General features: G+C 38.7%; 1 protein-coding gene across 26 annotated transcripts in view; it reads right to left on the bottom strand.

Annotated features, from left to right (window-relative positions):
• PDE4D (phosphodiesterase 4D) overlaps positions 1 to 18,754 on the bottom strand; it is a 1,553,091-nt gene that overhangs the window by 168,887 nt on the left and 1,365,450 nt on the right. The gene's annotated exons all lie outside the window — the stretch shown is intronic.

Genomic DNA, 18,754 nt, shown 5'->3' on the forward strand with positions numbered 1-18,754 from the left:
GACTCAGAATACTCTGCTGGGAATAGCTAATGGCAGAAAATTTCAATTATTCCCAGTTGCAGGTGCTGTGTTGTGAAAGGCACAATAGCCCCTAGCAACCCTAACGAGGTTAAAGGAACAGTCCCTGAGGAATCTCACTGTTAGTATCCATGGCAAGAGAAAAGCTAAACACTGGGGATACATATTACTTCACTTTTGTCCCTGAAATTGGGCAAAGTTTCAGATTTGAGAATGGCATCAGAAGTATAGCTGTTTAGTGCATGTGTTTCTCATCATAGTATTGATATTCATTTCACATATATTCCCACAGTAACCATTTACTGAAGGAAAGCCAAAGCCATTTTAGCTTGATTACATTTTCTTTTTTTGGTTTGTTTTTTTTAGACGGAATCTCGCTGTGTTGCCCAGGCTGGAGTGCAGTGGCACGAGCTCAGCTCACTGCAACCTCTGCCTCCTGGGCTCAAGTGATTCTCCTGCCTCAGCCTCCTGAGTAGCTGGGACTACAGGTGCATGCCACCACACCTGGCTATTTTTGTATTTTGAGTAGAGATGGGGTTTCACCATATTAGTCAGGCTAGTCTCGAACTCCTGACCTTGTGATCCACCCGCCTCCCAAGATTACATTGTCTAAGACTTCCTACAGAAAGACAACTTCATTTGATATTATTCACAAGCCATCTAGTCTCTTGCCTTCAACATTTTTGGCCATGTAGTGGGTGGGTGTGCTCCTTTTTGCACTGATAGATCAGCAGCCATGCCACTTTTCTAAAACCATATTTATTTTGCCCCCTGTATCATCCATTCAGTCATTTAACCAATATTTGCTAGGAAATGAGTGAGCCATTTTAGCTTGATTACATTTTCTGGGGTTTCATAGATGACTAAGATGTAGCGTCCACTCTCAGGAGTTAAGGATACATTAAGGAAGACAGATAAAACCAACTAATATTATGACATTGTAGGATGAAAGAGGTGTGTGAAAGATTTATGAAAGTATAGAGGAGGAATGCTTAAATTCGGGAGAAATTCAGGAATAGCTATCTCAAGGGGCAAGTAGGTACCCTGCAGTTTCTATAAAAGGTGAAGGTAGGGAAGACTTACAGGGAGACTGAACAATATACGCAAAAGTTACAGAGGTGTGGGAGAGCTTGGCTTGATCAGGAAACTATACACTGCAGGCTAGAATCAATGAGTGCTTTGGAAGGAAGGGGATGCACATGGGAGAAAGGAACCTAGAAAGGTAAGTCGCAGACAATGAGGGAAAGGCAAAAGACAGGACATTTACATTTACTGAGCTTTTATTTTGTGCCAGGCTTTTTATGTTTGGTATCTCACACAATTACTCCAGTAACTTCCTGACAATGTTTGTTACTCCATTATGCAGATGAGGAAACAGAAGATGGGGAAGGTTATACCTGGGCTGACCCATTTTTTGAGGCCAGGTGTATCTAATACCAAAGACCCTGGTCATTTTACCGCAGAACATTGTTTCTAGAAGGAAGTTTAAACTTTACCCTGAAGGCATTGCAGACTCTGATGGACATCAACAGGAGAGAGGTATGATCATAATTGGATTTTATTTTGAGACAGGGTCTCACTGTCGCCTAGGCTGGAGTGCAGTGGAGCAATCACGGCTCACTGCAGTCTCAACCTCCCAGGCTCTGCCTCCCAAGTAGCTGGGACTACTGGAACCTACTGCCATGCCAATTTTTTTATTTTTTTTATTTTTATTTTTGGTAGAGATGGGGTTTTGCCATGTTGTCCAGGCTGGTCTCAAACTCCTGGGCTCAAGCAATCTGCCCATCTCAGCCTCCCAAAATACTAGGATTACAGGTGTGAGCTATTGCACCTGGACTTAACTCCATTTTAGAAAAAAACTAAAAAACTAAAAAAACTAAAAAACTGTCGTGTGGAGGAGGAGGAACTGAGAAACTGGGGGCTTTTCCTAGGATGACAGAGAAACATTTTCCTGCAACAAACTTCAATGTCTACCATCACATACATACAAGTCTAAGTTTCATAGGCCTTGATGTTGTCATTCTTGCATTTATGCCTAGAAACATGTAAGTCTGAGATGTAAATTGCAGAACTAAAGATGATGGATTCCAGAAACTCTGATCCACCTAAGAGAGGAGTAGGATTGTGGAAGGCACATAAGGGTAAAATAGTATCACATTTCTAAACTTGAAAAACTCAATTCAAATATGTGCAGATTCAGTCCCATATGAACAGCCATGTTGGCTAGAGGACATCATACTTCTCAAGGGCAACAGAGATGCTGGGAGCAGATTAAGTAGTTATAACTTGCACCTGTGTAATTACTATAGCGAGTCACACTTCTGTCAAATGATCCTATTGCTTTAAAAGTTTGAGATGATGCCTGGTCTAAGAGCTTTCTTTAGCTGCATGTCTCAATGTGGCTATAAATTTCAGTCAAGTCATGTCCTGCACATTGGGTCTAATTAAAGAACACAAGAGTGAGAAGGGCAGGGTATACACTCAGGGATGGTGGAGTTAGTTTATTTCTTGGATGGAAAATTTAACGGTCATTATAATGCCTCTTTGGGTTGGAAATACAGATTCTTATGTACACATTCATTTTGCACAAATGAAAATGGTAAACCAAAATCAGAGAGTGTTGAAGTTCTTAAACTAAAGACTACCTTATAGTGAGCTCTAGTAAAGAAGGTTAGAAACAATTTTTAAGAAAATTTAATAACAATATTTCAGAGAAAAATTTGTTACTGAATATTTTCCAGAAATAGTAACAAGACATCTGTATTCAAGTAGATACAAGTGATTGTACCAGAGGGTCAATATTTTGAGATGGCAAGCACACATTCTTATCATAAAGATATGGTACAGGAACTAGAAGAGATGTAATATTCCTTGACGTGATTCTGTCATAAAAGGTTAACAATGTTACATCTTAGGGCCAAGGAGACAATCCTTTGAAGGTTGCAAAGGACTGGCTAGAGTCAGGAATCATCAGCGTATTCCTTTAAAGATAAAAATTATATATATGCATACAAGTGCTACTTTTAAAATCAGGAATGATCTTCTATTTTTAGGGGCCAAAGAGAAGAGTTAAAAACTATAAATGGATATTTGACTTATGTGGCAGAAGAAAAGTTCAGAGGTTTCAGGATCTGCAGGTGAGAAGAAAATGTAAACTAAATGGCAATCTGTTCAGTGATTTTAAAATTCCTAACAAAATGCATTTCCTACAAATGTTGCTACCTGAAAAGTAACAATTAGACATCCATTTATTTGTACTTACATAATAAAAATATTTCAGAGTAATGTATACCACTGTCTAAGTCTTTCTGTTCTTTATCTGTAGCCAAACCTACTTGCCCAAATTAGTTGTACTAAGAGTTTTCAGGCTGTTTACAACTGAAACCATCTTACAAAGTATTTTAGGCCACATTTGTTTTGTTGATGAGGCCAAGAGAAGTGAAATAGTTTTTCCAGGGGCATGCAGTCTGTTATTAACAAAGTTAAGACTATGGACAATTTCAGGATCTTGTTCCTTGGTGTTTTGGAGGTTCTGAGGAAGTTGGTGAAAGGCTTCTCCTGGAAAGTAAATGTGGTTAAGAGCCAACCAGGTGAGGCTCCAGGCCTACTGCCTCACTTCACCTAAAGCAGATGGGCTGTGTTACAGAGACTTATAGACCGGGCTTTTTTTGAAGACTATTTATTTGAAACATCTCTTCTGTCAAATGAATTTTTAAATGCTAAATGAAATTTTTTAAATTTTAAATGAGTGGCCCACGCTAATGTATTAGGCATGTGAAAGGGACGATGTTGTGGACATCGGCAGGCAGCCTACATGTTCCTGAAGGTCAGACCCGTAACCCATTCATCTTGGAATTTTCCTCACTTGGTGCCTTTTAAAAGGGGATTTAAAGGCAATAGGGTCTGGAGGTTCTTGCAGTTATAGCTTCAGGGGCTCCCTTCTGATCTTGCACAGTTTTCTAATTATTCCCTTGTTTTCTTCCACTGACCCATGGGATGTGGTTAACTTGTGTCTTCTAAGGCCAGCTGTGACTTTTTCCTTACCCACGTTACTTCCAAGTTGGGAACACAATCTTGCAACCTGGCCCCACCCTGTTGTCTCTGCACAAGCCTGAAAACTCAGGTAAATGAATGAATGAATGAATATTAGGCTGATAATAACTACAGGGAAAAAGATAAGAGGTAAGAAAAATAACAGTGATGAAATTAGCAGGCAATAGAGCCCCTAAATATCAAAGGAAGGTAAATGAGTTCATTCTAGCATTCCACTAGCCCTCTTAGGCTTTGTCATGATTGCTTTCTCTTTTTTCTGTTTACGTTAATATTTTGTTTCTGAAATGCATCTCATCCTTTCCTCCCTATAGAGTCTCCTAAATTGCTTTCTTTTCTCCCCAACCTTCATTTTTTCCTCCTTCACTTTCCCACTTTCAATTCTAATTTCCAATTAGATCACTTAGGTTTACAATAATCCCCAACACTACGTATTATTCCCATCTCAAAGCAAACTTTAGATTGTAACCTTCAAATTCAAAGTCCCTTATACAGTTTTATTCTGGAAAAGTTGACTTCAAGCAATTATTGATTGGCTTGACTTCTTGCTAAATTTTGCCTAAAGGCGAGCCTTTTTGAAATCACACAAAGGGTGGAAACCACACAAAAGTAGTGGTTCTCAAACTAGGTGGGAATTCATAATGGTTATAAAGAATGAAATGGGCTGGTCACAGTGGCTCATGCCTGTAATCCCAGCACTTTGGGAGGCCCAGGCGGGCGGATCATGAGGTTAGGAGATCGAGTGAAACCCCATCTCTACTAAAAATACAACAAATTAGCCAGGCGTGGTGGCACACGCCTGTAGTCCCAGCTACTCGGGAGGCTGAGGCAGGAGAATCGCTTGAAAGCAGGAGGCAGAGGTTTCAGTGAGCCGAGATCGTGCCACTGCACTCCAGCCTGGGTGACAGAGCGAGACTCCATCTCAAAAAAAGAAATGTAAGTAATGGATTATTTGGGAGTTAGGTAAGGAGCACTGAAAAATATGTTCTAAAATTTATATTCATGAAAAATAACTGTATTTTTATTTTTAAAAAATAACATTTATTAATAGAGATTCTATAGAGGAATGAAGTTACTTTTTATTTCCTTTCTTTTCCTTTACTGTTTCCTTCTTTCCTTCCTTCCTTCCTTCCCTTACTTCCTGCCTCCATCCCTTCCTCCTTCCCTTCCTCCCTCCTTCCCTCCCTCCCTTCCTCCTTCCCTCCCTCTTTTCCTTCTTTCTTCCTTCCCTCCCTCCCTTCTCATCTTGGAATGAGAATACACAAATCCTCAGTTAACTCTACACTTTTATTCAAACACAAACTTCAGTTGCCTTGACTAGTTTTACAGTAAGAATTTAATTTTGAAGAAAACAAAAATTAAATGTCACTATCAATAAATCAACCTAAAGATCAAGTAGATGTATAGCATGGGCAGATATATCAATTTAATATAGGGATTAAGAGGTTGTGGAGTCAGCCTGACCCAGTCTGGACTTCAGCTGCACCGCTTACTGTGCATGTCCTTGAGCGAGTTAACTAAAATATACCACACATCCATCTGCAAGCATAGCAGTGAAGGTTAAATAATAATATGTACATGAAAAACTTGGACTGTGCATGGGACATAGTAAGTACTCAATAAATATTATAATTAATACAGTTTTGCAAAACATAGTATCTCATACTGCTCACATCACTGCAAAGTGATAAAGCAAAGGACATCCCAATATCCTACCTAAGAAAATTAGTGTTCAGGCAATATTTAATTCATGTGCTTCTAGTGCTATTTATAATTATCTCATTCAAATGTCATTTTGTAACAAGTATTTGATGTCCCAGCTGACTTGATTCTAGACCTAGAACTTGGAACCAATAATAAATTGGTGGGCTTTGAACTTGGAAAAGCTTGTGATAGAGTCTAAAGTTTTAATTCCACAGGGTTGATGTTGGTTCACTGCTTGTCACGATGTGCAATTGAAGCTGGCTATCAAAGCAGAATAAGGCAAAGGTACTTTAACTCCTTCACAATCACATGTTTTCACTTTAATCCAATTATAGCTGCTAGTCACATGCTTTAAAGATCACAGATCCAAATAAAGAAACCATCGGGGGTTTCTCTATGGCTTATAAAGGAGCAACATCTTTTATGACTTTAATTAGTCTAATTTTCTATTGTTAAAGAGAAAAGAATTATCTGTCCTTAACTAAGGCAGTCAGTTGTGCACAAAGCCAAACGTGCTGTGGGTCAGGAGATGTGAGTTCTGACCTCTGACCAACCATGACCTCTCTGAGTACTGAGACTAGTCACTGGCTGTCTCTGGTTTCACTTTCCTTGTTTCTAAAATCAATCCTTGCACTGATGATCAGTGAGATCCTTTCTAGCCATCATAGCCTATTATTTCATACAAAGTGATTTTTCCAGAATAACTAAAAAGCTGTAAATGGTATGTTCAGAGATGACAAAATGAGACAGTAAATAAAGGGTAAACGTATGTCTCCAGAAAGCAAAAATAAATAAATAATACTCAATGAGAAAAAAGATGAGTGGTGTTTTGAATATTAACCTCTATGATATTTCAGTTATTAAAATTAGCTTCATAGTTAATTGGCTGATATAACAGGACTTTGTGTTTCTTAAGCAAGTATTTGTTAAACACTGATGAAGTCTGTAGTTTATATCTAAGCCCCATGAAGTTTACAACATTTGAGTTCAACAAAGTTTATCTTGCAGGAGCTTGCAATCAAGTAGATGAGTAAAAAGTACGGATTTAATATACATTGCTTAAAAGGTTACATATAAATCACATCAAGCCAAAATATCAGCCTAGTTAAGTTGCTTGACCCAGGGTTATAACTCGAATACACAGGTCTCTGGATTTCCCTTTTAGAGACCGTATTCCCTTTAATAGGGTTTAATGGGGGGGGGGGGGGGAACCATCCAGAAGCTGATTGTTGTTATTGTTTTATAAATGTCTTTGTTCTTTTAAAGGTATGTTTAATATGCTGTTTTTATTACAGACTATGTATCCATGAAAAGTAAGTTTGAAAATGCAGAACATAGATTTTTTTTCTCAAAGAAAATAAAGGGTGAATTTAATGGAATGATCATTTTCAACTGGAAAGGTGTATTTGTTGAATGCTTTTTGTGAGCACTCAATAATTTAGCTTTTGGAGCATTCTCCATACAGTCTAATTTAATATTTGTAATGATCCATAGTGTTATCACTATCCCACATGACAGTAATGGAAATGAGGTTCCTGGAGGTCCAGTGATTTTTCTGAATTTACCAAGTAAATATTTGGGAAAGTGAAATTAAACCCAGGCTGGCAGGCTGGAAAATGTGTGCTCTTCCGAATCTTTCATCTTCTTCTGGTTCTTGGTGCTTCTCTGGAATTTTGCATACAGAGAGAAGGGGACAGGTTCTTTTCACTTTTGATGTACAGAGGTTATGAGAAAATAATCTTAAGAAATTTACTGAACAGCTCGGTTACTAAAAATGTACATCTATCTTTCCGCATGATTTTTAAGAAGTGAGATTCCCAATGAATGGATTTAAAATGCAATTTTACATTCACCTAGAATGAATGTGCAGATCTTTCCTAAAGATATAAGAAATCGACTGAAGTAAGCAAGAAAAACACTATTCCGGAATTGCAAAGGGTATCCCTGAAGAGTATGTGTGAATGCCATAAAAGTTATACTATATCTAATATTATCGAGCCCTAATTGAAAGCCGCTGATTTCACCTACATAATTCCATGTCTGCGAAATCATGTGGTGTTTCTAGTGAACATAAACACATTTACAGTTAAGGAAAACTTAAAATATGTATCCAAAGATAAGTTCAATAGGTTTAAAAACCCAAAATCTGGCTGGGCGCAGTGGCTCATGCCTGTAATCCCAGCACTTTGTGAGGCTGAGGTGGGTGGATCACCCGAGTTCAGGAGTTTGAAACCAGCCTGGCCAACATGGTGAAACCCTGTCCCTACTAAAAATACAAAAATTAGCTGGGCGTGATGACATACGCCTGTAGTCCCAGCTACTCGGGAGGCTAAGGCAGGAGAATCGCTTGAACCTGGGAGGTGGAGGTTGCAGTGAGCTGAGATCCTGCCACTGCACTCCAGCCTGGGTGACAGAGCAAGATTCCGTCTCCAATAAATAAATAGATACATATATACATACACACCCAATATCTTGTTCTTATTCTTTTTAAACTAAAAAAAAATATACACATAACTGTAGGAAGCTTTCCTTTTCCTTTCTGATAGACACCTTTGAAATATTAACTTGGTCAGATTCAACCCTTCCTATGTTTTTAAGAGTGCTAGCCAATATGTATTTTGCTTGTATATGCATAAGATTTGTTTACATAATACACAAGAAGCTGTTAATAATCGATCCTTTCTAGGGCACGTTTTGAATTTTGAAGCATACGAATCAATTATCTTTTAAAATATTTTCAATTAAAAAAAGTTCTAGGGTGGTACTACAGGCAAGGTATGATGGAAGTGCCACATTCTCAAAGCCACTGAAGAGAGCCAGTTGAAAGTTAGCAAATGAGTTAGTTGTTTCATCAAGAAATGGAAGTGGTCTGATTTTTTTTTTTTTCCAAATCAAATAATGCAGTACAGTGCAAATTCTTGAAAGATACTTTTATTTTCAAATTGTACTTGGAAGTTCTTCTTATTCTGATTCTGTTGAGCAGTGCAATAGGATTACATTGGTAGTATAATTGAATAAGGCTCTGTACAGAAAAACTATAAAAAACAATTGCCTATTGCTTTATTTCCTGAGAAAAAAAATTACCTTTTGATAAAATAAGTAGAAATGCTGAAAAGAATGTATTCAAGTTAGAAGTATACTCCCCACTGAACACCTCTTTCACATTTCTGGCCCATATAGCAGGGATCCCCAACCTCCAAGCCACAGACTGCTTCCGGTCCATGGCCTGTTAGGAACCTGGTGGCACAGCAGGAAGTGAGCAGCAGGCAAGCGAGCATTACCACCTGAGCTTTATCTCCTGTCAGATCAGTGGGACTGTGAATCCTATTGTGAACTGTGCATGCGAGGCATCTAGGTTGTGCACTCCTTATGAGAATCTAATGCCTGATGATCTGAGGTGGTTTCATCCCAAAACCAACCCCTCTCCCCACCATCCATGGAAAAATTGTCTTCCATGAAGCCAGTCCCTGGTGCCAAAAAGGTTGGGGACCACTGCTGTATAGCTACAACACTCAAGAATACATGGCAGTTCCATTTAAATTTTAAAAATTGAATGTCTTTGGTTTAAAATATTGAATGGTTTTAAATATTCCTTATAATGCAAGACCACATCTTAAGCTACAATGGAGGGTAAAGGACAAAGGCTATATTTGAAAAGTAGAAAGGAAATACAAGAGTTTTCAGTTAAATTGGAAGATTTTTTTTAAAAAAAACCTCAAACATTTTCTAAACCCTCAAATTATTCCTAAGATGCATTCAACTTTGAATACATTGATAAAATTCATTGCTTGACAAAGTTGCCTATATTTTTCATTGAATTGGGCAGTGGTGTGATTGAATTGGCCAAATCAGAACCTAGAGTGAGCATTCTATAAACTCACCTTTACTTTGATCCTTGAAGATCACAAGTTTTGATACTGTTGAAATCTCTACTCTTTCAACACTTTAATTAAATGGCATTTAGAATTTCATATACTTCTGTTGTTGTTTCCACAATCTTAAACTGGATTTAGAAATACTTATAATGTAAATGCAAGAGCTTTAACTTAGTAACTGTATTTCCTATTTTTTGTTGTTTTTCTTTTGCCAGAATTTCTGTTTGTCTACAATAAAGTCCAGCGAAATACAGTATTTGGTTAGGTTACTTGTTAACATAAAATTTTATCATTTGTAGAGTTTTTACTTAACCTTCCTATTCTCTAGTCTCTATAATCTTTCAATGAAGATAACCAGTTACGAATATCTCCTATACCATATTAGGCCTGCCAGAATGTGATTTCTTGGTATAAAGTGATTTTCAAATGTTTTCCTAACTCAGTAGCCACTTCCATCATTTATATCTGAGTTATTTCCTCTTTTTCTTAATAGAGAAATGAATTGATATTCAAGCCAATAATTGATATTCAAGTGACATAGTTATGTCACTAATGAAGGTAACCCATCCTCAGCTAGGAAAAAAAAAATATGTATTTTCCAAAACTGCTGACTTTTACTTTGTTGTCAGTGACCTTGGAGTCCTGGTTCTATACTGTATAGGCTGTGTGACCTTATTTCAGTTGAGGGTAGAAGAGAAAAATTATATTGCAAAAGTGGGAAAGAAACACACTTATAAGATTTTCAGTGGAACTTGAGAGGACTTTTCATTTTTCTTTTTACTATAACTCCTCAAACAGTATCTAAACCTTCAAGTTGTTGTTTCTCTCCTTCTCTAAGCTTCAGTGCTCTCATTTGTTTCATGGAGATAATAAAAAACATCTGTGCCTCATCTCATTTATAGCATGGAGACAATGACAATAGATCCACACCTCAAACAGTGTGGAGAGGGTGAAATGATGATGTAGAGAGAAAGCGTATCCCAGCACCTGCATGGTAACCACTCAGCACAAGTTATTTGTTATTGTTTTAATTGGTTACGAATTGTATTTTACATATAACCTGTCCTGTCTGGAATAAATCCATTACCAATGAAAACTTTTAAATAGGAACTCCGTAGATGATAGGTTATTCAATAAAGATCTACTGGAAATAAAACTGTTTTCCAAAATAAAATATATAGCGGTGTGTGTGTGTGTGTGTGTGTGTGTGTGTGTGTGTGTATCTGTGTGTGTACATACACATTTTAAAAAATTGATTCTGTTCTCAATAGCAGAAAAAAGTCTTTCCACTACCTTAAACCCACATTTGACTCAAATACACTAACGATATGTAACCACTGTTCAAAGGAAAAGCTGACGGACATTAGGCTGCGGAATCCTGCAATGCTTGTGCTCAGCTTGGGCCTGGGTGTCAGGATAGGAATAGGAGATGCCAGACCTGTTTGGTAGTAGTGGTAGTAGTCATTGCCTAACCTAGGCAATCATCAGCTCATGGGATTTGGTGCTTTAAGCAAAGGTGTTAATTATTCCCCTCCTCCCTTTTAGTACCATTTTCTCTTAAACTAACACCCATCTTTGGGCTTAACTAAGCAGAAAAGCAAACAGGGAAGAACCAGGTGGTTAAGGACCAGTGTCTTAAAGTAAATACTCTGTATTTGAGTCCAAAATGAATTTCAAACTCAGGTTAGATGTTTCTTCTTAATCACTTAGGAGCCAGTAAGACTCTCTAAGCCTTCCTTCCTACGCTCTTTCACTAAAGGACCAGGTTCTTTCAGGTGCTATCCTATTTGGAATTTAATTTGCCCTAACATTTCTCCAAGAGCCATTACAGCACACCACATTGCTGTATCCCATTTAACTCCCAAACCGCAGAGAAGCTGGCTGCAGCATCAAACACTATTAAAAATACCACAAGGGAACCTTAGAGTGGGATTTCAGGCACAAGTTACAGCCTAAGGACAAACAGCGGTTGTAAAGAGCTTGAATGATACTGGAATGGAGATTTAGGAGAATTTTCAGAGTCTGAAAAAACAGTCCTTAAGATTTTAGTGTTGGTTCCTAGGGCTGGTTCTCCGTGGTTATATGGGTTAGTTAAAACATTAGAGTAACTTTGCCTTTCTCCCTCTCTCCTCGAGTTTTTTTTTTTTTTTTTTTTTTTTCGGTCAACAGATTTGGTACCAAGAGTGACTACAAGTGAGAATGGCTTAACAAATATTTCCAAGAAGAGGTTCCTATCACTAGGCCTTGCAAAGGAACAACAGACTCATTAGATTTTTTTTTAACCTGAATATCTTTATTGTGCCATCTAAGCACTTATTTGAAAGTCTTCAGGTGTAATCCTGATTCAGGGTGTTTAAAATGCAAATGCAGAAATTAGCCCAGCCATGGCTACACAAGAGGCCCCAGGCATTTCAAATTTGAATGAATATTTTGGAAATGGAGCAGAAACTTAATGGATTAGTCATTATTTAGAGTCCTGTCATGTGGGAGGTCCAAATTCAGAGCCTTAGAGCGGGGAGGAATATGTTATAGTGTGGTGGTGGCAGCCTCAAAATAGGTAGTAGTGGTGGTGAAGGTGGAGGAGGAATATGAGGATAAGGATGGTTTTTCTGGGTGGAAGAACAAGAGGAAGAGAAGCCAGTACTTGCCTTTCAAGCTCTGCAGTAGTATCACTGCAAACTGAGCACAACAATGGAAGAAATGGCTTCTGGCATCCACTTGCTCATTTTCTCTTATTGGCCAACATACTTCTGGAATCTTCTCAAAAGATCCATTCTGACAGACTTTTTATTTTCCCATAAAATTCCAGGAGCATGTGTAGACTGGACTTCTGGGCTTCCATTCTTATAGAATGTTTCCTTCATATAAAATGCTTCAGTTTGGAATTTTACATTCAGTACAGATTATTTCATTAATACAGTGCATATCTCCCCTGTCCTGGACCCTAGATTATAAGGAGTAAGAATGGGGATAATGCTTCTTTTTGGTCATCAATGTATCTCAAGAGCTTTGATTAGGGCCTGGCACATGGAAGACTCTCAAAAAAGTATTGTTTAAAAAAATGTCTGAATTGTTAAATGGACCTGGTCTGAATATCTAATCCAAAGGCAGGCAATTCATGGGTTTACCAGCAGCCAATAATCTATAATATTTAACCACAGTGGAAAGTTACCTCATTGTATTTGTAAATTTGTAGGCTCAAGTTGCAATTATAAATGGGAAATTGCAACTAAGGTAATTGGTGTCAAGAGAAAAAAAAATTTTTAAATCTACTGATGGCCTAAAATTGGGCCTAGAGAAGCTATGGCAAGCCATGTACAAACTCAGGCAATGAGAAAGCAGACACTATGGAGAGTAGAGAACTATCTCTAGAAAACAAAAACCAGACCAGATATATAAATAAACAAAGGGCAGAGTCCTGAGAAAGACACCATATTTACTACAAGCAAAAGAAGAAGTTTCAGGTGCCTAGAACTGTGATGGTTCCCAAAACTTCTAAACCCTAGTCCACCTGTGTCCATGTGAGAATGACATTTATTTTGATCTAGTTATTTCTGGTAACCGAGCTGATCCAGTGAGGATATTGTCATATGGTGATGAGGGACGTTTGTGAATTACTATGTAAAGAAAAGATGCTTACTCTGTGCCAGTAGCTTGGGAATCTGGAATCCCTTCCTGTAAGCCTCAGAGTGTTTCCAGGAAAAGTCACCAAATAGCTTTGATTCAAGGAAATGAATCTCTTCTGTCCTGTACTGGCTGCTTGAAAACATAGTCACCTGAGTAATATGAGTCCAAAGTACTACATTACATCTCAGTGTTTCTTGCAATTGACTAACATGTAGAAATTGTGCTTGGCTGGGATCTCACAGTTATCTGGTTGGTTTCTGTCTGCTGCATGGAGCTCACTTCCTGGTAGTGACCATAGAAGGAGGCATTATCTTTTTCCAGTCACTAAAAACTATATGAACATCAACAATAACCTAATTTGTGAGCTCTCTGGCAGGAATGAAATTCCTCTTTATAATCACTGATGGTACTCCCTGTGTATGGCAGCAGAGTGACACACGCTGTCCTAGTGGAACATACCCTCACTTTGCCTTGTGTTTAAAGCTGGGCACCACTTCTACCTTAGGGAGAGAGATGGTGCGAAAGCAGAAGTGAGGAATCACAGATGGGACAGAGTTGGACTGGGTGATGCTGCAGTGAGGAATGAGGGAGCATGATGAAGGAAGAATGATATAATTTTAGGGAGCTGGGAATGAATAGGGTGAAGAGGGAGAGAAAAGAGGAGATTTAGACAAAGAATGGGAAACAAGACAAATAAGGGAAGGAGTGAGGGAAGAGACTGGAAAAAGAAGAGGCAGATATAAGGAAAGGAAAAAGGCAAGAGAATAGAGTAGAGAACATGTGAAAAGGAGAAGATCGGAGAAAACAAATGAACTGAGATAAAATTTGAGGGAGGCAGCAGAGTGTTGACTGCAGGGTGTGGAATCTGAAATATAACTGCCAAGTTTTGAAGCCTGGCTCCACAGCTTTCCAGAATAATGACCATGGGACATATCCCTAAATTCTCTGAGCCTCAGTTTCTTCTTCTGTAAAATGGGAATAATAATTTTACCTACCTTATGTGATCATGCATGCCCAGTCTTAGCACAGTGTTTGGCACACAGAATTGTTATTATTGAGGTTAAAAGAGAGAAACAAAGCAAAGAAAATAATAAAATGGAGGAAGTAGGAAAGAGAGATGTTCAGACAGTGGAAGGATGGAAAAGAAATGTATTTCTGCTAATAATTTTAACCTTAGTTTTTCCACATTATAATCAAGATTTCTATGCCTACTATATTGTTTCTACCTGCTTTAATAACAGCTGGAAAAACATGTTGAGTATGAACATACCTTTTTTAAAGGTATTTTTGTATTAAACCAGCCTGTAATAGTTTGCAAAACAGATGTTCACATTTCCTTGAGTTGAAATTATTCCCTAGAAATGAGTAAGACGAAGGATACATGAAGCTAAACCGGTCATCCAAAAAACGGTTTGTTTATTTGCCCTACCTCTTTACTGTATTGACTAGGTCGTTTGATGGGATTAACTAAATTGACCGGTTATTTTGAAATGTGTTAACCCAACTGTAGGCTTTAGGGAAAATAAAGCCCCTAGTGTTCTTGGTGGTGTTTCTTTCCAAGTTTCTCTCCACAACACAAACCACTTCCTTTTACTTGAAGTCATTTTGCTTTTCTCATTAGTCTCACAGTCCAGGGGCTGGTGTTGAGTGCTGAGGCAGCTCTCAGTTCAAGACCATAAAACAACACAACAAAATTAGCCCAAAACATAAAAGGAAAGCACTGTGGAGTTGTTCTTCTCCTCTCAAGAAAAGGAAAGTGGAAGTTAGGGCAGATAAAGTATGAGAAAGAGATCAGAGATCTATTCTTGCATAGGGGTGGGGAGGTAGAATGAATGAAACCACAGCCCAAGTCAGAGGGAAAGAAAATGGAAGGAGCAAAAACAACAAAAATCCCCCACCACCTCTCTCGACATTCATCACAACAACTCTCTGTGCACCTGGCATGGTGCTGCACAGTTGTCAGATCCCAGGCATGACTCCCTAGTGTTTCCATGAGGCTGAATAAATAGTGTTCTCACAGACTCTCCAGTAGCAGCGGGTGAAAGGCCAACCTTCATTGACCACTATAAGGCTTTTCTTAAATGCTACTCGGACACACCAAAAGAAATGTTGTCCTTTTCACAAAAACATGTCCTTGTTCAGGACCATGTAAGTTATTTAAAATAATGGTCAATGAAACAAATATAGCAATGGTATCGCTTCTCACATTTTCCTCATTCTGCTCAGAGGGCTGACAGAGTGGAGAAGATCATCCATCATCCACTTCTTTCAAGTTACTCCCTTCTGCCAAAGGGATTAAGAGACACATTTTCATCCCACTTTCTCAAATAGGAGAAAAAGTTTTCCATGCTGGTTTCTACTGTTCCATGTTTTGCTCTTATATTGCACCCAAGAATCATTTCAAGATGTTCTGAGAAGAGATGTAAAAGAGTCAGCTGATCTTCCCTACTTCAGGTCTATTGAACACAGGTAAGTTGGCATGACAGTGCCCCAGAACCACACACTAGTACTATGTGTGGTTATAACAAAAGAATTGCTATACTGGTGGGCAGGGTTTTTTTTTTTGTTGTTGTTGTTTTTTTTTAATAAAGAGGCATAGACCATAATTTTTAGAGCAATTTCATTAGGTTATGCTAGAGGTAGGTTTGGGAGAAGAGCCTGACTCGGCCTGAGGAAGGGGACTGGGCTTGAATTTTAGGTGTCCTCTAAAATGAGATAAAGTGAACCAGGCAATTATGAGAGAGAAGCGAGTTTTAGATGGTGAGAAGAGTACAAGTAAATGAAGACAGTTGTGAAACATGGTGCACGTGGGTGGAAAAAGTTTGCTGCTGAAAGAGTCAGCCAGGGGCTGGGCTGGAGAGGAGGTACAATACATATCTGGATAGGGGCTTTGGGTACCACACGAAAGAGATCTGATTTTATCATGGATGATGGGAAGGCTTGAAAAGGTTTTAAGAAGAGTGACATTTGCAGATTAATTTTTCAACTACATAAATTTGCTGGCATCATGGAAGGCCAGAGCTAAGAAGAGGTGCAACAGAGATCGACCATTTAAGAAAGTAGTTCTCTAATTTTAAAAATTATAGTAAGAAATACATTTTCATGGCAAAATGTCTGTGTGTGTTTGCATGTCTGTGGGTGTATCAATAATTTTATAAAACCATATTTATCTTTGATATTATAGATGTGGTTTTATACTCTTATTTTTTACGCAATTCTGTATCATATTTTTAAAATAAAATGCTAAATGCAACTGACAGTTTCAAAAACACTATTTCAGGTACTAGTACTATAATTCAGGGGAGAGTTGGTGAGTGCTTGAACTAGGGAAATATTAGCAGGTTAGAGAAGAGAGCATGGATTTGATCAATAGTTATAAAATAAAATAAAAATTGTATTCATTTGGGGCCGAGCATGGTGGCTCACACCTGTAACCTCAGCACTTTGGAGGCCAAGGCAGGAGGATCACTTGAGGCCAAGAATTCGAGACCAGCCTGGCCAACATAGTGAAACGCTGTCTCTACTAAAAATACAAAAATTAGCTGGGTGTGATGGTGTACACCTGTAATACCAGCTACTTGGGAGGCTGAGGCACAAGAATTGCTTGAACCCAGGAGGTGGAGGTTACAGTGAGCTTAAATCTTGCCACTGCACTCCATCCTGGGCAACAGAGTGAGACAACTCTGTTTCAAAAATATATATAGACAGACAGATAGATTTGGTAGAAGGATTCATGATTTATAAGTTTCGATCTTGGCTAAAAGTGTTTCACTAACTGAGATAGGAAGAACAGATTTGCAAAGAAATATGTGAGTCCAGCTCTGGACATATTGGATTTGAAGAGTTGGATATCAATGGACATTGGGCTTTTGTGTGAATAAATTTGGAAATTGGGGAAGTGCCTACTCTGAGTAGAGACAGAGTTTTGGGACCCACTTTCATAAGATGGAAAATACAACTATGAGGTACATGAAAACATCTACAGAGTACACAGAGTGAGAAAACCAATTAATCAAAAAGAACATTCTAGAATACTCACATTTAAGAGGTAAAGTGGGGAGGAAGAGAGACCATGAAGAATAGTGAAAAGAAGTATTCAGAGCAGCAAGAAGAGTGTGGAAACATCTGGAACAAAATGGCTCCCAACAAAAACATGTTGAATAAATATTTACTCAGTAAATGAACAAAGAAAGAGTTTAAGAAGAAGAAGCCTCTAAGAACTAAGAAGACAATTAGGAGTTCATTGGCAACCAAGGGAGGGCAGCTGGAACAGAGGTGTTGTGAGAAAGTCGTACTACAGTGGACTGCAGACTGAATAGGGATGAGGAGGTAGAGCAACTTGACTGAAAAGAGAAGATCAAGAACTAGCTAAAGGATCAATAAAGAGTTGGCTGAACTTTGCTGTGGTTTGCTGTGTATTGTTTTTAAGATTGTGAGAGACATGAATGGGGAAAGAGCCAGAATAAAAGTAAAGATTGAAGATGTGAGAGATAGAAAGGAAAACAGACGAAGCAAGGACTTGTGGGAGCTGGGAGGAGAGAGGATCAAGGGCCCAGATGCAGGGGTTGACTTAGAGCAGGAGGGAGAAGGGAAACGTCATCCGCTGAGACCAGAAGGGAGGAAGGGATTATGGATGTCAGTAAGAGACCTATGGATAACATCTATGGCAAGAGGATGTAGGAGCTGAGGAAGTTCATGCCTTGACACAGACTTTCTTCAAAAAGCAACAAGTTATTTGCTGAAAGGAGATGAAGAGCTGCTGGTTTGGGAGGCTTAAGAGAGAGGACAGGTTTGGAATTAGCATGAAGAGGACTGAGAGAGGGGCACAGCAGGAACTAACTGTCAAGTGCTCTGAGAGTCCGATGAGGTGACAGGTCTTGACTTTGTTGGAATTCCAGCTTGAAGTGATGTGGGATTATTTTTCCCAGGAATTCAGGTAAGGAAGTGGAAAAGGCAGACTGTAAAACTGACAGAGCTGGATTTTCCCAAAGTGAGTAAGGAGGACAGGATGGCAAGAGATTCGAGAGAGACTGGGCAGGCCAGAGGGAGAGGTTAGGAGAAGACTCATTTGCTTAAAGGAGATTGAAATCCCTGAACTAGAGACTTGCCAGAAAAAAAAAAAATATATATATATGTGTGTGTGTGTGTGTGTGTGTGTGTGTGTGTGTGTGTGTGTGTCTTATTCTCTTTTGTGGCAGACACTAAATTTGAGCCAAGGAGATGTAAGTAGAAGCATTATGTGGGATTTCTCAGAAGCCTTTTCTAAAAGGAGTGGGTGTACTATTCCTTCTTTTTTCCTCCTTCTTGCTGCTGGCCACTTAGTTGTGATGGCTAGGGCTCTTGTAGTCATCTCAGACCATGAAGACAAAGCCTATAATCTAGAAATGTTAAAAAAATTATCTGAAAGAAGCTCTGGGCCCTTGGTGATTTTAGAGCAGCCACAGCAGCCCTGGACTGCTCACTCTGAATTTCTGGAAAAA

The sequence above is a fragment of the Homo sapiens genome, chromosome 5, assembly GCF_000001405.40.
Source record: "Homo sapiens chromosome 5, GRCh38.p14 Primary Assembly".
Lineage (NCBI taxonomy): Eukaryota > Metazoa > Chordata > Mammalia > Primates > Hominidae > Homo > Homo sapiens.